Here is a 21,366-nt window from a genome sequence, read left to right as displayed (position 1 = left end):
AAAAATGACACTAAACTGATCTCAGTTTTGCGAATATATAGTTTACAGAAAAAAAAGACTAAAAGAAACCACAAAATGTTATTATGTGGTTATCTCTGGGTAACGGGATTACAGGTGATTTTTATTTTGCCCTCTATATTACCTGAATCTTTTACAATATACACATTTTTATAGTCAGAAAAGTAATTCGAAACAGATTGAATATAAAGGAATTCTAATTAGAGCTTAATCAGATTTGCAAACACCAGAGTTTATTAGCAAAGTACAAGGCTTCCTGATTTTTAATATGAATTGCAATACATTTGCAATTAAGATGATGTAATTAAAAACTGGGAGTTAATGCTATAGCTTAGACAAAGATGCTAATAAAAGTTGTCCTTAATTCTAAACAGAAAGTAAAGGAAAGAAACATTTGATTCGTTATTCGGTAAGGCAGCAAAGCAGTGGCTCTGGAGGGGAAGGCCCTGGTTGGCATGACTTGCTCTCTGAGCTGCAGTCACGCTACTGACAAGTCAGGGACACTGCTGTTGCCCACATCTTCTCACTGCTATCTGAAGGACTGATGGAGACACTAAGCTACCATCAGCTACCACTGATGGAGACACCGAGCTACCATTCATAAAATCTCTACTGCCATGTCAGGGACGTGGCAGGCCTGCTCCTGCTTCTCATGTCTTGTGGATCTGGAGGCTGCCCCCCAATTTGAGGATGGGCAAGGTCAAGGCAGGGGTTCATTCTGACTTAAAAGGAACCTGAAAAGTCTGGTTAAACCTGTTAGTAAAGGTTAATTCTAATACAGACCCTGAGTGGCCTCAGGTGTTTCAGACTGCACCAGACATGGCTGTGAATGTGGCACTCACTGGTGAGTCCCTAGGCAAAGGGGGCTGGGGCAACTAAAGGAAGTGAACTGGGCTGGTGGGTGGAGATAGGGGTTGGGGAAGGACACAAAAAGATGAGGCAGAGGGTTGCCAGAACAAGTTTTGGAGAGCAGTGCCATGAAACGGGGAGAGAAAAGAGGAAACTAAGGGAGAAAGCAGAAATAGCCAGACTGTCAAACAGGGAGGAGTAAGGGGAAGAAAGTGTCTTCCTCCTTGTTCTCCCTGCCCAATTTACTCTTTATTCATGCTTACTTCCCTGCTTCTACCTCTTTTCCACATCCCCTCTGCCTCTCCTCTCCACCTCTTCACTACCCAAATCATGTTTTCATTCTCAAGAATCACTCCCACTCCCTCTCAGACAAGTGGCGTTTCGTCCTCCAGGAGTCAGAAAGTGAGAACCCCAGACAACACTAATCCGAGTGGATCACAAGGCCTGAGCTGGCTTCCCAAGCCCCCAAGGCACCCAAGCATCACGAATGAGATCTTGACTGATCCCGGCTGCAGATATGAGGGGTACAGTGCAAGAAGAGCAGCTGTACACCTCTCCGCTTTCTGTCCCTCCACTCCTGTCCTCATTTGCACTAGCTTCAGTTACAAAGGATGCACTGTCTTCAATTACAAACGACCCACGCGAATGTCCCATGATTAGAATTTATCATCTGATAACTGTACGGTCACCTTCCTTTCCTGGTGAATTTCTAAAATGTTATTTTAAAATGCCAAGACTGGACATGTTTAAAAGCAAATCTACACAATGACTGGGCCATGAGAATATTTAGTTAAAGTCATGAGGCCCTCTGGGAGGAATGCAGTATTTCCATAATTCATCATCTTGGTGCCCAATGTCAGTTTAATATGCCAAGAAAAAGATCAAAACAAAATGTCTGACACTGGGGTTTTTGTGAAGAAAATTGTATGTATTCTTTTTTGCAAACAGACATAAAGGTTGAATTTAATCAAAAGTGTAAATAATTGTTAAGTGTTATATACGCAGGTGCTAAGTGGGGGCAACTTCAGAGACTCAAGGATTCACTTTGGTTAAATGGCAAAAAGTCCATTAAAATTCATCTTTTGGAAATTATTACTTGAAAAAGAAGAGAACGATAATATTGTATCTGGAAATGTGTTCATTCTCCAGTTAAAGCGTGTTATTTTACACCTCATCAAACAGTACGATAATTTGTCTACAATTGCCAAAAGCAATGATGCTTGAAGTGAAAACTAAAATGTCCTTGCAGATAGCTTTGCTTTGTTCAGCAAATAAGTATAATTTGCTCTCATGTTAAGAGAAAACATTTTCTTATAAAATATATCAAGAAATAAAAAGGCAATACCTTCCTGAATAAAAACAAATATACCCCAGAGCACAATGTGAAACAAACAAGCTATTGGGAATCTCCCTGGAGAGGCTTCTCTGCTCACTGTACCCTTAGACTTTGAACTTTCTCAGGGGGTGCTGGCAAACTGCAGGATATGCAAACAGGGTGAGCTGATGATTTTCACTTCTTCAACCTCTTTTTGCAGCTCTCTCAGGAACTTAGACAAAGCCAAGAATGAAATGAGAGCTGCAGGGCTCTGAATAACTATTTAGCAGTGTTGACTACAAAAAAGAACTGTTGGGTTTGAGGTGAATGGAGTCGAAAGGACAGAAAGAGGTTGTTAGAGAGCTTAAAAGAGCCACAAGATGAAAGGAGACCCACTGCTGTCGACTGAAGGAAAGCCTTACTTTTAGCTAATTTGTTTCTTGGCATGGCCCCACAGTGCCTCTCTGAATGGCAAAACCCAATACTGGTTTAAGAACTGATTTCAGTCTCTGAGGTAATATGTAAAAACATTAAGTTCTCAAACTCAGCTCATGTTAGGGATTAGCACATATAGCCTAAGAAAGATATGCCAAATATGTGATAAATTATTCTCAGATTTAGCCCACTGGATGAAGGCACTTTGTTTTAGAAACACAGACTTTAGCAAAAGTACTCCAAAATAATCACTAATTTGAAAAAATCTAATGTCCTACAAAACAGATCACATTATCATTGCTGTACTGACTTCCCATTTCCTCCAACTTCTAAGATTTTTTCTTTTTCCTCAATAAAGTCAATCAACAAGAGGCAGTTTACGTAATAGTAAAGGGCATGGACTCTGCAGCTTGATTTCCTGAGTTTGAATTGTAAATATAAAGTTTGGCAAATTGCTCAACCTCTTATGAGCCTCAATATCCTCCTCTGTAAAATGGGGATAACACTATCTACCTACCTTATTGCACCTTAAATAGAGCTGGGTACATAGGAAGTACTCAAAGGTCAACAGTCGATATTAGTTAAAATTGTTACCACTCACCAACCACTGGAACAGAATAGAAAGCCCAGAAATAAATCTATGAATTTATGTTCAACTGATTTTTGACAAATGTGCCAAGAGCACACAATGGGGAAAGAACATCTCTTCAATAAATAATGTTGGGAAAACTGTAGATACACATGCAGAAGAATGAAATTAGACTGTTAACTCACAATATATGCAAAAATGAACTCAAAATGGATTAAAGACTTAAGTATTTAAGACCTGAAACTGTAAAACTACTTGAAGAAAACTAGGAATAGCTCCACGACATTGGGCTGAGCAATAATTTCCTAAATATGACCCCAACAGCACAGGCAATAAAAAAAATAGACAAATGGATTGCATCAAACTAAAACGCTTCTGCATAGTAAAGGAAACAACAGAATGAAAAGACAATTCACGGGTTGGGAGGAAATTTGCGAAGCATACATGTGATAATGAGCTAACATCCAAAATACATAAGGAACTCAAACAACTAAATAGCAAGAAAACAAATAACCTGATTTTAAAATGGGCAAAGGACTGGGCATGGTGGCTTATGCCTGTAATCCCAGCACTTTGGGAGGCTGAGGCAAGAGGACTGCTTGAGCCCAGCAGTTTAAGACCAGCCTGAAAACAGCCAGACCTCCTCTCTACTAAAAATTTAAAAAAATTAGCCAGGCATGGTTTTGTGTGCCTGTAGTCCCAGCTACCAGGGAGGCTACAGTGGGAGAATCTCTTGAACCAGGAAGATCAAGGCTGCATGATTTCTGCATCAAGGCTGCATAGTGGAGCTATGATTGCGCCACTATACTCCAGCCTGCGTGACAGCGCAAGACCCTGACTCAAAAAAAAAAAAAAAAAAAAAAAGGCAAAGGACCTGAACACACATTTCTCAAAAGAAAGACACATAAGTGGCCAAGAAATATATGGAAAAAATGCTCAACTTCTCCAGACACCTGGGAAATGCAAATTAAAATCACGAAGAGATAATCACTTCACATCTGTTAGAATGGCTATTAGCAAAAAGACAAAAGACAAGTATTGGTTTGGATGTGGAGAAAAGGCAACCCTGGTACATTGTTCGTGGGAATGTAAATTACTACAGCTATTATGAAAAACAGTATGGAAGTTCCTCAAAAAACTACAAATAGAGCTACCATATGATCCCACTTCTGGGTATACATACAAATGAAATGAAATTGGTATGTCAAAGAGATTTCTGCACTCCCACGTTCACTGCAGCATTATTCGCAATAGTCAAGATATGGAAGCAACCTGAGTGTCTACTTTTATTTTATTTTATTTTTGATTTTGTTGGGACAGGGTCTTGCTCTGTTGCCCAGGCTGGAGTGCAGTGGTGCAATCTTGACTCATAGCAACCTCTGCTTCTGGGGTTCAAGCAATCCTCCTACCTCAGCCTGCCAAGTAGCTGGGACCACAGGTGTGTACCACCATGTCTGGCTAATTTTTTTGTATTTTTTGTACAGATGGGATTTCACCATGTTGCTCAGGTTGGTCTCAAACTCCTGAGCTGCCTGCCTCAGCCTCTCAAAGTGCTGGTATTACAGGTGTGAGCCACCGTGCTTATTTTATTTTATTTTATTTTATTTTTGAGACAGGGTCTCACTCTGTTGCCCAGGCTGGAGTGCACTGGCATAATCTTGGCTCACCACAGCCTTGACCTTCAGGGCTCAAACGATCCTCCCACCTCAGCCTCCTGGGTAGCTGGGAATACAGGCACACACCACCACACCTGGCTATTTCTTTTCCTTTTGTAGGGACAGGGTTTTGCCGTGTTGCCTAGGCTGGTCTTGAACTCCGGAGCTCAAGCAATCCACCCACCTCAGCCTCCCAAAGAGCTGGGATTACAGGTCGTGCCACTGCACCCCGCCTCTAAGAGTCTCTCATCGATGAACAGATTTAAAAAATGTGGTATATACATATACAATGGAATACTAGCTAGCCTTTAAAAAGAAATTCTGTCATTTGCAACAACATGGATGAACCTGGAGGGCACTATGCTAGGTGAAATAAGCCAGGCACATAAAGACCAATACTGTATGATCTCACTTACACGTGGAATCTAAAACAGGCTAATTCATAGACTTTGAGAATAGCATGGTGGTTACCAGAGGTTGGGGGAAGGGGGAAGGGGTTGGGAAAATGTGGAGATGTTGGCCAAACTACAATGTTTCAGTTAGACGGGAGGAGTAAGTTTTAGTGATCTATTGCACAGCACGAAAATCACATTATTAATAATGTATTTGTATACTTCAAAATTACTTAGAGGAGATTTCAAAAGTTTTCACCACAAAAAAGGAAATGAGGTGACAGATATGTCAATTAACTTGATTTAATTATTCTGCAAGGTATACATATATCAAAACACGCTGTATTCCATAAATATATATAATTATTATTTCTCAATTAAAAAATTTTAAAAAATCGTTCCTACTTTAAGGCAATGACATCCTTATACCTAATCTTTTTAAAAAGCATATGATTAATATATTTAGTAATTTGCATGCCTGCTTTTTCAAGTTAAGAATGTAATTCTTGAAGGTTTATTAATTTGTCTCAAATATCCTATAGTTTCTGGCATATAATACAAGTTTGACAAATGAGTATACATATAAATAAAAAGAAAGAAAGAAAACTTCCAGGCCAAATAAGGTGAATATTTATAATATAAATTCTGATTTAATGAGCTTTTTTATTGAGTGTCTACTTTATGCTAGGCCCTGTGTGAAGACTTTCACATCATCTCATTTATAGGTTGAACATCCTTAATCCCAAAATCTGAAATGCTTCAAAATCCAAAACTTTCTGAATACTGACACATTGCCACATGTGGAAAATTCCACACCTAGTTGCAGTCAAAATGCAGTCAAAACTTTGTTTCATGCACGACATTATTAAAAACATTGTATAAAATTACCTTCAGGCTATGTGTGTAAGCTACATATGAAACATAAATGAATGCTGCATTTAGGCTTGGGTCTTATCCCTAATATATTTCATTATGTATATACAAATATTCCAAAACCTGAAGTCTGAAACACTTTTTGGTTTCAAGCATTTCACGTAAGTGATACGCAACCTATAATATGTCTATGGATAAGACACATCTGGCTGGGCACAGTGGCTCATGCCTGTAATCCCAGAACTTTGGGAAGCTGAGGCAGGTGGACTGCTTGAGCCCAGGAGTTCAAGACCAGCCTGGGCAACATGGCAAAACCCTGTGTCTACAAAAAATACAAAACTTAGCCAGGCATGGTGGTACACAACTGTAATCCCAGCTACTCAGGTCTGAGGTGGGAGGATCACCTGAGTGAGGGAAGTTGAGGCTGAAGTGAGCCATGATTGCGTCACTGCACTTCAGCATGGGTGACAAAGTGAGATCTTGTCTCAATAAAAGAGATACATCTATGTAAAGGCATTAATAACACAGTGGGTACTGGGCTATGCTGAGACTCATTTAGACTATCCCCTTTAGTTTACAACCTGACATGGTTGGTTATTTAAACTTTGTTGAGCTAATTTTCAAGCCATATGAAAAACTCATTTATATGCCTTGGAAATGTAGCAGTAGAGGGTGGGTATGACCATGATATGGGGAATGCTACTGCAGGACTGGTATCCTATATTCTAGCTCTGAGGAAGGGTGATAGTATCCCTTTGGAACATAAAAAATACCTTCGAGATATTTTTAGCACACACAGGGCCCAAGTTAGAGAAAGCCCTGCTATAAGAAATCTCTTTAACCACAGAATAAAGAACTATATATTACACACAAGACTTGGCAGCAACTCAAATTCCAAATGTTAGTTTTTCTTGCATTCATCATATATTTCATGGAAAATTTATATCGATCTCAGATCTTACTAGGAAGAAAATTCTAAGCCAGCATAAATGAATAAGTGGATTTCAATCTTCTGAAAGGGCTTTTGGGTGTGGCTGAGATAGCTAACTTTGAAAACTTAGCAACACAGGATACATTATGAGTAAGTTCTTTACTTTTTTTTTTTTTTAAATAATGATGTTAACTCACCAGATCCTTCTGAAAGAGTCATTTTATTACTTTCAATGAAGTCAAGCAGAGAACAAGTTGTAATATGAAACACAATTTATGCAACTATGTTGAAATTCTCTGACAGAGTTACATGTTCTAATGTAAGAATTTTATGGTAAAACAAATAATATCAAGAATTAGGTTAGGCTCATTTTTGTTTTAGGTTGTCACAGGAAAACTCTTTCTATACAAACCATTAAAATTCTAAGGCAAATGATAATGCCTTAATTTTTTTTTAATCATGTTCCCTACAGTTTAAAATTAAACAGCTGAAACTAAACCTCATTTGAAATTATACTGTTAGGCAACTCCAGAAGCTAAACACAAAAACATGTTAAAATAAAGATTGCAACATCAAGAGAAAACCATCCTCATATATATAGTTTTAGATTCTCAGCCATTTCTGACTCCTGCCCAAATGAGATCAACTGATCCTTCATAGGTTTTCCCACAGTCAGCCAACAAGCTACTCACTATTTCTCAGCCACATGGGTTTACTCAGAGAAATGCAATACATCTAAAAAGCCAATAGAAATCCCATGGGTGGGTTTGGTCTGCCTTTCAAAACCAATGAACTTCCCATTATATAATCTTTAATAGCAAGAGGGAAGTTTACAAGTCATACACCCAACTTAACCATAAGGCAGGCTACGTTGTATGCCTCACTGTATTAGGAAAGAAGAAGAAAGAAAAAGAGCTTTCTGAATGGCACGAACCATCTTGTCCAGTAATGTCAGAAAATTAATGAATCCTACTTGATATTGACAGTACTACCAGGTTCTTTTTCACAGTGATTTTTCAGTTGGTGTGGTGTTTTCAATCAGCGAAGCCCAAAGTGTCTAAAACAAAACTTCAGTGACATTTTATTAATTCTTTATAAAATAGAGTAAGTCTTATAACCACGGGAGAATTCTGAGAATCTAGCTTTTCCAGAAAGCCCAAGAAAAATAATTCAGTTTCACCATTCTCAAATTCATTTGACTTTGAAACAAAATAAACATATTACTCTATTTAATATCGTTGCACAAGCGAATTCACAAGAATGAAATGTGTTCAGAGTTCCTAGAAAAAATGTAGCAATACAGGCTGCCAACTTGTTCAATGTCAAGCTCTAGGCAGTATAGCAGCAGCAGCAGCAGCAGTAAATGACTCAGAGTGAATCACACTTAAGCTATTTTTGCTTTTAAAGTACTGCCAGGCACTGTGTTAATATTCAATCCAGAGTAAATTTAGCCCAACAAGAAAACAAGTGTTTCCATGGTTGCTTCTTCACAGTGTTTATGGTATATATGCAGCCATTAGGCACAGGAATCCAGCCAGATAAATTAAGTAGAAATGCTCATCTTTCATTTATATCCAGGCTTTGGAACACTGAAAGTACGAAAGTCAACTCAGGCTTTTCTTCCATCTCTTTCTGTCTATCTGCCTCCCCAGACCCCAAATAGCAAATATGTGGAGTATATTATTAATGGTTCATTTAAAAGTTTATCCCATTAAAGTAGATTTAGTGGACTGGTGTTCAGGGATTTTATCTGGCTCTATATTAAGAATCACAAGCACTCACATTTTTCTGATAATGTAACCACAGGGGACTAAAATGCTTAAAGTACCTAGCAAAAACTGCAGAAAATTTGGTCTGCAGAGACCAAATGGAGTCCTTATATAGTAGATGTTAAAATATTGGTTACAGGGGATAAATCACCAATATCTAACTGATTGTTTTATTGTGTTTAAAACACGTAACATAAAATTTAACACCTTAACCATTTTTAAATGTATGGTTCATTAGTGTCAAGTTTATTCATGTTGTTGCGAAACAGATCTCTAAAACTTTATCTAGTAAAACTGAAACTCTCTATACTAATTTATTTTTTACAAATCTCAACTTTTGGCCGGGCGCAGTGGCTCACACCTATAATCCTAGCACTTTGGAAGGCTGAGGCGGGTGGATCACCTGAGGTCAGGAGTTCAAGACCAGCCTGGCCAACATGGCGAAACCCCACGTCTACTAAAAATACAAAAATTAGCTAGGCATGGTGGCAGGTGCCTGTAATCACAGCTACTCGGGAGGCTGAGGCATGAGAATTGCTTGAACCCAAGATGCGGAGGTTGCAGTGAGCCAAGATCGTGCCACTGCACTCCAGTCTGAGCGACAGAGCAAGACTCTGTCTCAAAAAAAAAAAAAAACCCTCAATTTTTCAGAATATGCTATTTTTATCCCAAATGCATGTGGAGTTTTTATATTTGAATAGCACAGTGACTTGGGGAATTGCTTCTAGAACTTTTCCCTAATTAAACCTACCTGTCTGTTTGTATGTCAGAATCCTCAGCATTATCTGTAGAATAATCTAAGCTACAGTAGACATGGTGGTTAGTATTTTGGTCAGTAAAAAATATCAGTCTGCTTTCTCAGTACAGGTTTCTAAAGTGGGATGCATGCAGCTCAGAGTACATGCAAAATCTCAGAACTTCTATTTATAATTAACTTTTATTTTAAAAAGGAGAAAAATTAGGTTTCACTAATAATGCACATACTGATATTATGCAGAATATGTACAAACACGAATAAACAAATTATCAGGAGGCTCATATGACAGTAACAATTAAAATAGCGTAGAGACTTCTGCTTTAATGACCACAAATACCTGAGCCTTCTTGCCCTTCTTGTCTCTTTATTTTCTATCCTAGTACAACGGTTTTTGTTTTGGTTTTTTTTTTTTTCATATTTAGATGGTCACTGCCACTAAGTATAGTGGAAAAGGCTGGGTCAGCAAGCAACTGGAGAAGATAGAGAAATGGTAATTTGAGCAAGTCAAGTCTGGAAAACAGCCACACTAAGTACCTCAGCACAGCTGTAATAACAGGACTGAGCACAGTGACAGTCACACAAACCAGCCTAATCGAAGACTCATGCTCTGAATTTAAAAAGTGATCAGGGCCAGGCGCGGTGGCTCACGCCTGTAATCCCAGCACTTTGGGAGGCCAAGGCAGGTGGATCACGAGGTCAGGAGATACAGACCATCCTGGCTAACACAGTGAAACCCTGTCTCTATTAAAAATACAAAAAAACAAAATTAGCCATGTGTGGCGGTAGGTGCCCGTAGTCCCAGCTACTCGGGAGGCTGAGACAGGAGAATGGCATGAACCTGGGAGGCAGAGCTTGCAGTGAGCTGAGATCATGCCACTGCACTTCAGCCTGGGTGACACAGCAAGACTCCATCTCAAAATAAATAAATAAAAAATAAATAAATAAATAAATAAATAAAATTTTTTAAAAAAGTGATCAGTTTTCTTATGAAGATCTCTAGACCTCTAGGACTCCCTGAAAATTACAGTGGAGATTCAAAAGCTATTTTCAATATTCTGAGAAAGCCTAGCACAAGCATAATATGTAATAGACAGGATCTTTCAAAACACATGCCTCCTAGGGAACAACTATCAAAGGGGTAGCTTGGTGGTAAAAAGGTGGAAACTCCTAAAATAGTCTAACTTATCTTATGGAATCTTTATTTCCTATTGAAAGCATCTAGCACAGGGCTTGGCATATAGTATAGGTGCTTAATAAATCTTTGTGGAATAAATGGATGCAATATATAACTGCATCCACACAAATCATCCTATTTGAAGCCAATGCATTCTAAAGCTCTGTTTGTTACCTGTACGCTAACTGTGTAAGTAACTTTCAAAATCTCAAAGCCTAAGGGACTATAAATAATTTACCAGAACATCTTACTTTCCCTTGATCACTGATTTCACTAACTCGTCTTTACCCGAAAATTCCAGGTTGGAGTATAAACAGTATTTAAATGTCTACAAAAAGAACATTAAAACCTAAGCAGAGGCAAAGGTGAGAGAGTGAAGAATGGTTGAAGCAGGAGATTTTTCAGACAGTGAAACTATTCTGTATAGTGGACACATGACATTGTGCATTTGCCCAAAACCCATAGACCATTTTTTTTTTTTTTTTGACACACAGCCTCGCTCTTGTTGCCCAGGCTGGAGTGCAATGGTGCAATCTCGGATCACCGCAACCTCCGCCTCCCAGGTTCAAGCAATTCTCCTGCCTCAGTACGTAGCTGGGATTACAGGCATGTGCCACCACACCCAGCTAAGTTTGTATTTTTAGTAGAAAGCGGGTTTCTCCATGTTGGTCAGGCTGGTCTTGAACTCCTGACCTCAGGTAATCTGCCTGCCTCGGCCTTCCAAAGTGCTGGGATTACAGGCATGAGCCATCGCGCCCGGACCCACAGATCATTTGATTCAGCTATTCCACTTCTGATATATACACAAAAAAGAACTGAAAGCAGAAACTCAAACAGATACATGTACACTGATGCTCACAGCAGCATTATATCCAAAAGGTGAAAACGCAAATGTCCATTGACAGATAAGTGGATCAACAAAATGTGGTACATACAATGGAATATTCAGCCTTAAAAGAGAATGAAATAGTAATACATGCTACAACATAGGTGAACATTAAAGCCACTGTGGGAAGTGAAATATGCCAGACACAAAAGGACAATTTTTTGTTTGTTTGTTTTAAGAGACAGATATAGTCTTGCTCTACTGCCCAGGCTGGAGTGCAGTGGCACAATCATGGCTCACTGCAGCCAAGACCTCCTAGGCTCAAGTGATCCCAAGTAACTAGGACAATAGGTGTGTGCCAACACACAATTCTTGTAGAGACAGGGTCTCGTTATGTTGCCCAAGCTGGTGTTGAACTCCTGGGTTCAAGTGATAAACGCACAAATATTGTACAATGCCACTTACATGAGGTACCCAGAATAGTCAAATACATAGAGATAGAACCCGATTTAATAAATGGTGCTGGGAAAACTGGCTACCCATATGTAGAAAGCTGAAACTGGATCCCTTCCTTACACCTTATACAAAAATCAATTCAAGATGGATTAAAGACTTAAACGTTAGACCTAAAACCATAAAAACCCTAGAAGAAAACCTAGGCATTACCATTCAGGACATAGGCGATTCCTCAGGGATCTAGAACTAGAAATACCATTTGACCCAGCCATCCCATTACTGGGTATATACCCAAAGGACTATAAATCATGCTGCTATAAAGACCCATGCACACGTATGTTTATTGCAGCATTATTCACAATAGCAAAGACTTGGAACCAACCCAAATGTCCAACAATGATAGACTGGATTAAGAAAATGTGGCATATATACACCATGGAATACTATGCAGCCATAAAAAATGATGAGTTCATGTCCTTTGTAGGGACATGGATGAAATTGGAAATCATCATTCTCAGTAAACTATCGCAAGAACAAAAAACCAAACACCGCATATTCTCACTCATAGGTGGGAATTGAACAATGAGAACACATGGACACAGGAAGGGGAACATCACACTCTGGGGACTGTTGTGGGGTAGGGGGAGGGGGGAGGGATAGCACTGGGAGATATAACTAATGCTAGATGACGAGTTAGTGGGTGCAGCGCACCAGCATGGCACATGTATACATATGTAACTAACCTGCACATTGTGCACATGTTCCCTAAAACTTAAAGTATAATAATAATAATAAATAAAATAAAATAAAATAAAATAAAATAAAGTGGTTACCAAAGGTGAGGGTAGGGACATGGGGAATTACTGTTTAATGGGTACAGTTTCCATCAGGGTTACTGAAAAAGTTCTGGAGGTGGCTAATGGTGATGGTTGCACATCAGTGTGAACGTACCTAATCTCACTGAGCAGCACACCTAAAATGGTCAAAATAGTAAGTTTTATGTAATATAAATGTTAATACACGAACACCCACCCCATAAAAATATACACAGCATAAACCTAATGTAAAAAATGGGCTTAACTCAATAATAGTGTATCAATATTGGTTCATCAATTGCAACAAATATATCATTCAAATGTACAATATTAAAAATAGGAAAATAGGGGAAACTGGTGTGTAGGGGATTGGGGGAGAAGGTGGTATCTGGGAACTCTCTGCACTATCTGTTCCATTCTGTTAACCTAAAAACGGTCTAAAAAATAAAGTCTATTAATTTTAAAAAATTCTAAGCAGAGGCAAAAGGGGTTGGTCTGTGGCAAACTCCTTTCTTTCACGTAGGGTCCTGTACTGACCCCGCCAGTGACCCATTTCCTTGTTGAGACCGTGAGCCCCCATGACTCAGCCTCCTTGCCTGCCAATTCTGATCTCATTCCTTTAATGCTCATGGATTTCCTGGTCTTAGAGGCTTGGACCTGATGTTCCTACTCCCATGGGCCTTGGATGCTACTGCTATTCCCTAGTCTGTCCAGCTTGCTCTGACTTATGACTTGTCTTGACCTTACTGTTTGTGTATATTCTGCCTTCCAACGACTGGCCTGCTATTGACCCTTGGTATTCTAAACCTTGATACAGTTCCCTAATTTTGCCTACCAACCTGGTATTTATCTTGCTGGAAGGCACAGCCCAGCCTAATAGCAATTAAATGGGAAGAGTACTTAGGGGAATGATATTGGGATACAATTATAATATTTGAAAACATTTATTAACACTATAAATAAAAGTTATTTGTTTAATGTAAACTGCTTCTTAAAAGCAGATTTTATTCTACCTTCTAATTTCCTGCCTTAATTCTGTGTTCACAGAGTATCCAGATATAAAGTAAGAATTACAAACTGGAATGCCAGCAGGAAAGACAGTTGAAGTGGATCAGATATAAAACAAAAGGGAATGGTCAGAATAGTGACTAATAGAAAGGCACAACTCTTACCTAAACACATTTGAAACCCAACAAATCCCAACACTGTGTGAGCCAAACAAAACTCACATTTCAGAATGGGTAGCCTGGCGACCTCCAGGTCTCTGTACAGTTGAAGGAAGGAAGGAAGGAAGGAAATAAGGAAGGAAGGAAGGGAGGGAGGGAAAGAGAAAGAAAGAGAGAGAGAAAGAGAGAAAGAGAGAGAAACAGAGAAAGAGAGAAATAAAAAGAGAAAGAGAAAATAAGAGAAGAGGAAAGGAAAGGAAAGAGGAGAAGAAAGGAAAGAGGGGAGGGGGAGGGGAAAGGGGGAGGGGAGTGGAGGGGAGAGGAGAGGAGAGGAGAGGAGAGGAGAGGAGAGGAGAGGAGAGGAGAGGAGACATGGGTGCCTTAGGTAGACTACCATTTAATACACTAAATTTGAGCTAAATCACTCCACACAAACATATATTTACTAAAGTAACAAAGAAGCTTAGGCATATGAGCAATATGGGCAGTGAAATCACATTTTAAAACAGCTAAACCTTTGGCCAAGAGAGAATGCAATTAATAATGTGACTAGTTTCCTGTACGCTGCTGGCTACAGATAACCCCATGAAGATCTACAGGGCATTTTCCAATGGCACGATTCATTTTGCTTTCAGTGTCCTCAAAGGGGAAAATCTCACAACAGAGAATAAAAGCTTAAAAAGAAAAAAGGGTACAAATGTTCAACATTTCTTTTTCATACAGGTCGACTCTTTCAAAGCCAAATACTTAATTTCTTTTTTTCTTTTTCCCTATTCTCATTTTATAAAAGAGAATTAAATGGTAGCCAATCATCATTTACTGCTCAATATAATTTTTGGATCAGAAAATATTATTACATATTGATTTTTTTAACAGATTAGAGGATATTCTTCACATTAAGTCTACAACATATAAGACAAAGAGAACAAGGCCTCTACTTGCCTACCCCAAATATTTGAATTAGCAGATGAATCAGAAAAAGGTACACTTTCCTCCAGGCATACCAGGTACATGCCTCGGTGATTAGAACCCGGGCTGAAATCTAGTCACCCTCTGCCTCCTTAGTGAGGTGCTTTTATGTAGTACATAACAAACTGTGCAACTGTATACAGTGAACTGATCCTATCCTACATTTAAAAAATGTTATCTTAATAAATTATTTAGATTATCCAAGTCAGTGCTTTCTGGCCCACCATGTCTCTTCATCTGATCAACCATCCCTAATTTAGAAACTATTTAAAGTGTCAATTTAATTAATACTCTGGCAATGACTTCCAACGGTTTGGTACTGAACACGTACCTGAACCCTCCACTCAAACCTCAGCCTGGCTCACAACTTCCTTGCCCATTTTGCTCTTTTCACCTTGTTGTTCAAGAGGCTCCCACAATAGTCTGGCCATGAACAAAGCCTCCTGCACATACCGGGCTCTCACTGCCTCAGCTCTAGGAGGTCATACTTTAAACTCAACCAAGTCCCTGAGCTTCCCCTATTACCCCAGAATGGCATCTTTTTTGAGATTCTTCCCACCTAACTCACCCAGCTCTGCAGAGTGAACCCAGAAAGACTCTATCCTGGGCTACCAGAAAACAGGTCATAAAATCTTATTGATACCTTTAAATGAATATGTGTTCGCCTTGCTAACAAGGTAAAAGTCGGTAGCAAAGAGCCTGAGTTTGAACACTGAGATTCACACGTGTAGCAACAGATACTGACAATGTTAATTACACTAATTAACACAAAGGCAGAAACTAATAAAAAATATTTAGGAAGCAATGGCTCTCTCTTATTCAAAATTATAGAGACAGATGGACTTTGCCCACTTAGGCTAATCAATCCATAAACGTTTACAGAGCACTATGACATGTAAGTAAATGAGGATACCTGGTCTGACAAGTACATGCCAATGGAACAGAATATCAGAAACTAGAACTCTCCTGGAAGTTAAGGAATATAAAGTCAATGAAAATATAAGATTATCTAAGATTGCAAAGAGCTACTGTAATGAAGGGAGGTGGGACAGAAATATTCTAAAGGATAGCAAACAATATGAAGCAGAATTAGAAGTTGATCTGGGATATACAAGTGGCAGAGACCAAAAGGTTTAATAACCTACTGAGTTGGCAAGTGTGTGAAAAATGGGCTCTCATACATTGTTGATGGGGTTGTAGATTAATAAAATCCCCATAAAGAGCAGTTTGTCTTTCATAGTAAAAATCTAAAAATTCACGTCTCCTTTGACTCAGTAATCCCACCAGTATTTACCTTACAGATACAGGCCTACTTGTGTGGACTTCTGTATGTGTACCAGTGCACATGGCAGTGATGTTGGTAACAGCCACAGAATAACTACTAAGCCCACCATCAGGTGACTGGTTAAAAATTATAGTACTATTTTATATAGCCATTAAAAAGTGAGGCAGTGCTATATGTACTGATATGGAATATTCAAAATATATTATGTGAACAAAGCAAAGTAGAACAGAGTATCCAATATGCTACCATTAAAACACATGTGCAAGCTGTGCAACACAGAGACTATTTCCACAGGGATATGTAAGGAACTGGTAAGAGTAACTGTTTCCAGGGAGGCAGAGGCCCACTTTTCACCATAGTCTTTTGCACTTTGTGAAGTTTGTACTATGTGCATGTATCACCTAATAAAAAAGATAAAACCTTTAAAGAAGAGCAGAGAATATACATATATAATAATGTTATTATACATACACATATAAAATGTATAATAGAACAGAAGAGACTGTCTTGGGCAGGAGTGGTTAATGAAGGTTTCCCACAAAAGGTAGTGGGAATGAAATCAATCTGGGAGGCCAGGCATGGTGGCTCACACCTGTAATCCTAGCACTTTGGGAGGCCAAGGCAGGTGAATCACTTGAGGCCAGGGGTCCAAGACCAGCCTGGCCAACATGGTGAAATCTCATCTCTACCAAAAAATACAAAAAAAATTAGCCGGGCATAGTGGCATATTGGCACATACCTGTAGTCCTAGCTACTGGGGAGGCTGAGGCATAAGAATCGCTTGAACCCCAGAGGTGGAGGTTGCAGTGAGCAGTGAGCCGAGATCACGCCACTGCACTCCAGCCTTGGCAACAGAGTGAGACCCTGTCTCAAACAAAAATAAAAAAATAAAGAAATCAACCTGGGGAAGAGATGGCTAGGTAAAACTGGGAAGGCACCCTTGAGGCCAGATCGGTGAGAAAAAAAAGGAACAAAATGAGGCAATTTTTAGGCTGAAAAGGGTAAGATGGACCAGAAAGAGAAAGAGACTAACATTGTGCAGATGCTGAATGCTACTTCCCTTTCTACAGTTCTTCTATAGTATGTATTTCTCTCTTAAGTGGTCATGTGTGTATAATGTAATCCATGCACTTATTGAATGTCTATCATAAGCTGCTGAGGACATAAAAATTGATGAGATTCAGTCATCACCCTCAATGAGCTCTCTCTTTCAGGAAAATGCAAAACTAGGAGAGTAAAGGAAGAATTCCACAGAGAAAAACATGATTAGCATATATCAGAAAGCAATTATCTATTCTACATGATGTAGTAATAATGACAGTAATGAATAGCTAACACATAACATTTACTGTGTGCCAAGACACTGTTGCAAATGACTTTCATATATAAATTCATTGAATCTCCACAACAATCCTTTGAAGTGGGTAAACTATTATTATGTCATTTTAACAGACAGAGGAACTGAGGTATAGAGAGGTTTAGAAACTTATCCCGGGTTACAGAGCTAGTAAGGGGCTGAACCTAGACTTGATCTTAGAACACGTGGATCTAGAGTCTAAGCTATGAACTGTGACTATTCTGTAGAGACCTTGAAAGAACAAATGCTAATCTCAGAACAATAGTATCACCTAACATTTATTTGCATAGGACTTTGCAGTTTACAAAATACTTTCATGTGTTATCTCATTTCAACTTATGATCACTCTGTGATATATTCTCTTTGGACCGAACATATAGTCCAGATATTAAAATACATGAAATGATAAGAGCTATTATAAATTCTCCCAATTTCTTGTCATTGAAAATAAATGTAGTAGAAAAATTTCCCCTAAAGAATTCTCTAGAATTCACCACATGGTAGCAATTAAGTTAGACAGTATTAGTCAAGTATCACTACTTTCATAGGAAAGGCAATGATAAACTAGATAAAGGGATTCATTCATAAAGGTGTTTTAAATCCCATTTTAACAGAGAAAAACTACCTTTAATTTACCAAAATAAAAATCATGATTCCTATATTCTATTACTAATTATATATAGTTACATCAAGTACTTTGGAAATTGGTATAAGTTTAAATATGGTACTATTCAATTAGCACTAAATAAAATACATTTTAATTGATCCTTCTCCTTCTCAAAATAGTTTAAATATAAGCAACTAAAACAGAAAGTATGAAAAGCAAATTTACCTGTCAAATTTAGGAAAGGAAATTCCCCCAATTATTTCTACCGGTTTAGTCCCTAAATAAAGCCAGATATACTTGTAGAAAGTACCCAGTTGACATCACTCAATGGGGGTTTCCTTACTTTTGTCTATGTTGTACTTCTTCGTCAGCAGAGATACACATTATTTGTTTCTATTTTTTTTCAATCAATACATGGCTACAGAGTACTATTCAATAAAAACAAAATGTGCATTTCCCTTATAAAATAACCATTCTTTACTCAGTCTTCCAATTAAAGTACACAAATAGCTGACGATAGAAAATCAAATTGGTCACAGTGGTGCATGGCTGTAGTCCCAGCCACTCAGGAGACTGAGACGAGGGGATCATCTGTGCCCAGGAGTTCAAGACCAGCCTGGGCAACACAGCAAGACCCCATCTCTAAAAAAGTTTTAAGAGAAAAAGAAAACAAAATTAAGCCTTGGCACCATTGGAGAGGAAAAAAACATTGACAGCAATCTTCCCAGCATAATGTTTTCTACAGTCTTTCTATAGTCATGTTATTGCATGCTCTTTAATACTTGCCACTTGAAAAGACTCTAATTAGATAATTACCTTCTTGGGAAAACAACTCAATTCTAAATTGAGTAGGATTCCTACCTCTCCACTTATTCAAATTCTACCTCTTCTTCAAAGTCTTGTTCAAGACTCATTTTCTGTATGAAGCCATCACCCTCTGGTTTCAAAGATGTCTCCCTTCTCAGGTGTTAATTGTATGAAACACTTACGCTGGCACTCAATCATTTGTCTCCTCCTATTCTTTTTCTAATTCAACAGCACTCAGTTTATATTTCTCTCATGCTTTGAATTATAACTATTTTAAATATCTATTTCCACTAAAAGGACTAGGTCATATCCATCTATGTACTACCTTTGATTAAAGCATAGTCCTTGGTACATTAATAAATTATTTGTTGGGTATAAATTTTACCCATGCTATAAGCATATAAACTTCTTGAAAGTAAAGACTATGTCCCATGTTTCTTTTTCTCTATTCCTATACATCTAGTCCAGTGCCAGGCAAAAACAGACAGTTAAAGATACTTAACAAATACTGTATAGGTAAACCAGCTGTAGTTTTATTTTATTTATGTTACACTCTCTTTTCAAGTTGTTTTAATATCTGAATAAACAAACATGTCTTTCATCAAACAGATGAATCAGAAGAGTGAGATTACTTCAAATACCTCCTTGTTTTGCAGGGGTAATGTACTGAGAAAAGAGGATGAATGAAACACACACACACATACAGTCAATGATGTTTCAGCAGTTAAAAACTCGTATTTGAGTATTCAAAATGAACAAATGAATATGAGCTGGATGGCTGACTGACAATCTGGCCACAGTATTTTCTACCACCCTCCCATCAAGAAGCAGAGTCTATTCTCCCACCCTTAGAATCTGGGCTGCCTTGTAATTTCTTTGACCAAAAGTCTGACAAAAGTTACACTGTGAGATTTCCAAGTCCAGGCCTCAAGAGCTCTTCAGCTCCGGCTCTAGAGGCTCTTGCCTACCCACTGCTACCATGTGAACAAATCTGAACTCATCTGCTGGAGGCTGCAACCACATGGAGCAGGGATCAGCTGTCACAGCTGAAGACATTCTAGGCGCAGAAGCTCCCAGCCAATCTGGCAGTGTGAGGAAGCCCCTCCTAACCGGCAGAAGACTCACCCAGCTAAACCCCATCCAAATGACAAAGCCAAATAGTCACGAGCCAAATAAATGGTTATTTTAAGCTACTACGTTTTGGGGTGGTTTGTTCCACAATAAAAACTAAGAGAGCTGGAAACTCAACACCATTTAATTTAAAACTGGACACTTAAATGGTGTCACAATACTAATTTCTATTCCACAGCAGTTTTGAACTACAGCCACTGAAAATCATTCTTTTATGTTTAATATTTATTTTAAAATACCTTAAAAATCAAATTATGATTAAAGTAAAATTTCTAAATAAAAAGTAATTGCTAGCTTTGGGATGAACTGATTTTTTAAAATATTATCTAATAAATGTGTATACCTCATTTATATCACTTTATGTGCTATGAGAATTTTTTTTAAACTACACAGTGTGTTTCCTGCTTATAAAATTAGACAAGAGAAGTCAGGTGTGACCTTTACTCTTTATTGCTTTAAATACCAATTTCTGGGAGAGGAAAAAGAAGCTATGAAGAAAACTCTTAACCAATACTACCAATGAAGTAGAAGCAGAGAAAAAAAAAAACTGGTGAATTCCATCCCTCTGCCCCCATAATCTTACTAGGTTATGGAACTTAGTTTTTGAATTTTTGAATATGAAAAGTATGAATAATTTTATTTAGGACTCAGAAATGTGTGCATCCTTGGTAATAGGAAATTCAACTAAAATAAGAACATGATACTAAGAAGACAAACTTTCTCCCTTTAATGCTTTTTGGCCCATAAGCCCCTTGGTCCTTCTCCCCTCACTGCAGCACTCCTTGCTGGCTCTGCCTCTTCTTCTTCTCCCTAGGCTCTCTCTTCCCTTCACTCCTAGAGCTCCAACTATCACCTGGAAGCAAGTGAAAAGCCTTTCTCCCCCTCTCTTTAGCCATGGTCTTACACGAAATGTTTTCACTGCCAACCACTTGTTGAAGATTTATACCAAAATCCAGCACCTTAAATTCAGTACGCTTGACATTAATGAAAGTCACCTTCCCCACCTAAAGACCAGTTCTTCCATGAGACAGTCTACAACTTTTTGATGGTATCACCATTTTCCCAGTTACCCAAACTAGAAACTTCATGGCCAACTTCAACTCCTTGTTCTCCTAAGTCTACTTTATTTGAAATATTTGACAAATCCTATAGATACTACTTCTACAACACTTCTTGCATTCATTCTCTCC

At 38.4% G+C, this 21,366-nt stretch overlaps 1 protein-coding gene across 14 annotated transcripts in view, besides 4 other annotated features; it reads right to left on the bottom strand.

Annotated features, from left to right (window-relative positions):
* The window catches only part of NSMCE2 (NSE2 SUMO ligase component of SMC5/6 complex), a 275,261-nt gene that overhangs the window by 139,244 nt on the left and 114,651 nt on the right, over window positions 1-21,366 (bottom strand). The gene's annotated exons all lie outside the window — the stretch shown is intronic.
* Window positions 8,415-8,559: an enhancer, noted in NCBI's record as "145 bp enhancer 31 fragment used in the MPRA reporter construct; PK_construct_77". NCBI's record gives its function as "activates an SV40 promoter by MPRA in HepG2 cells {active_cell/tissue: HepG2}" and the evidence as "EXISTENCE:reporter gene assay evidence [ECO:0000049][PMID:23512712]".
* Window positions 8,480-8,493: a transcriptional cis regulatory region, noted in NCBI's record as "HNF1 motif; enhancer activity is reduced when this motif is scrambled". NCBI's record gives its function as "necessary for full MPRA enhancer 31 activity {active_cell/tissue: HepG2}" and the evidence as "EXISTENCE:site-directed mutagenesis evidence [ECO:0005528][PMID:23512712]".
* Window positions 9,823-10,052: an enhancer, noted in NCBI's record as "active region_27907". NCBI's record gives its function as "activates an Ori minimal core promoter by ATAC-STARR-seq in GM12878 lymphoblastoid cells {active_cell/tissue: GM12878}" and the evidence as "EXISTENCE:reporter gene assay evidence [ECO:0000049][PMID:35858748]".
* Window positions 10,063-10,262: an enhancer, noted in NCBI's record as "active region_27906". NCBI's record gives its function as "activates an Ori minimal core promoter by ATAC-STARR-seq in GM12878 lymphoblastoid cells {active_cell/tissue: GM12878}" and the evidence as "EXISTENCE:reporter gene assay evidence [ECO:0000049][PMID:35858748]".

Source organism: Homo sapiens, chromosome 8 (genome assembly GCF_000001405.40).
Source record: "Homo sapiens chromosome 8, GRCh38.p14 Primary Assembly".
NCBI lineage: Eukaryota > Metazoa > Chordata > Mammalia > Primates > Hominidae > Homo > Homo sapiens.
Note: the sequence above shows the minus strand (reverse complement) of the source record. Positions and strands in the feature narration are given on the sequence as shown.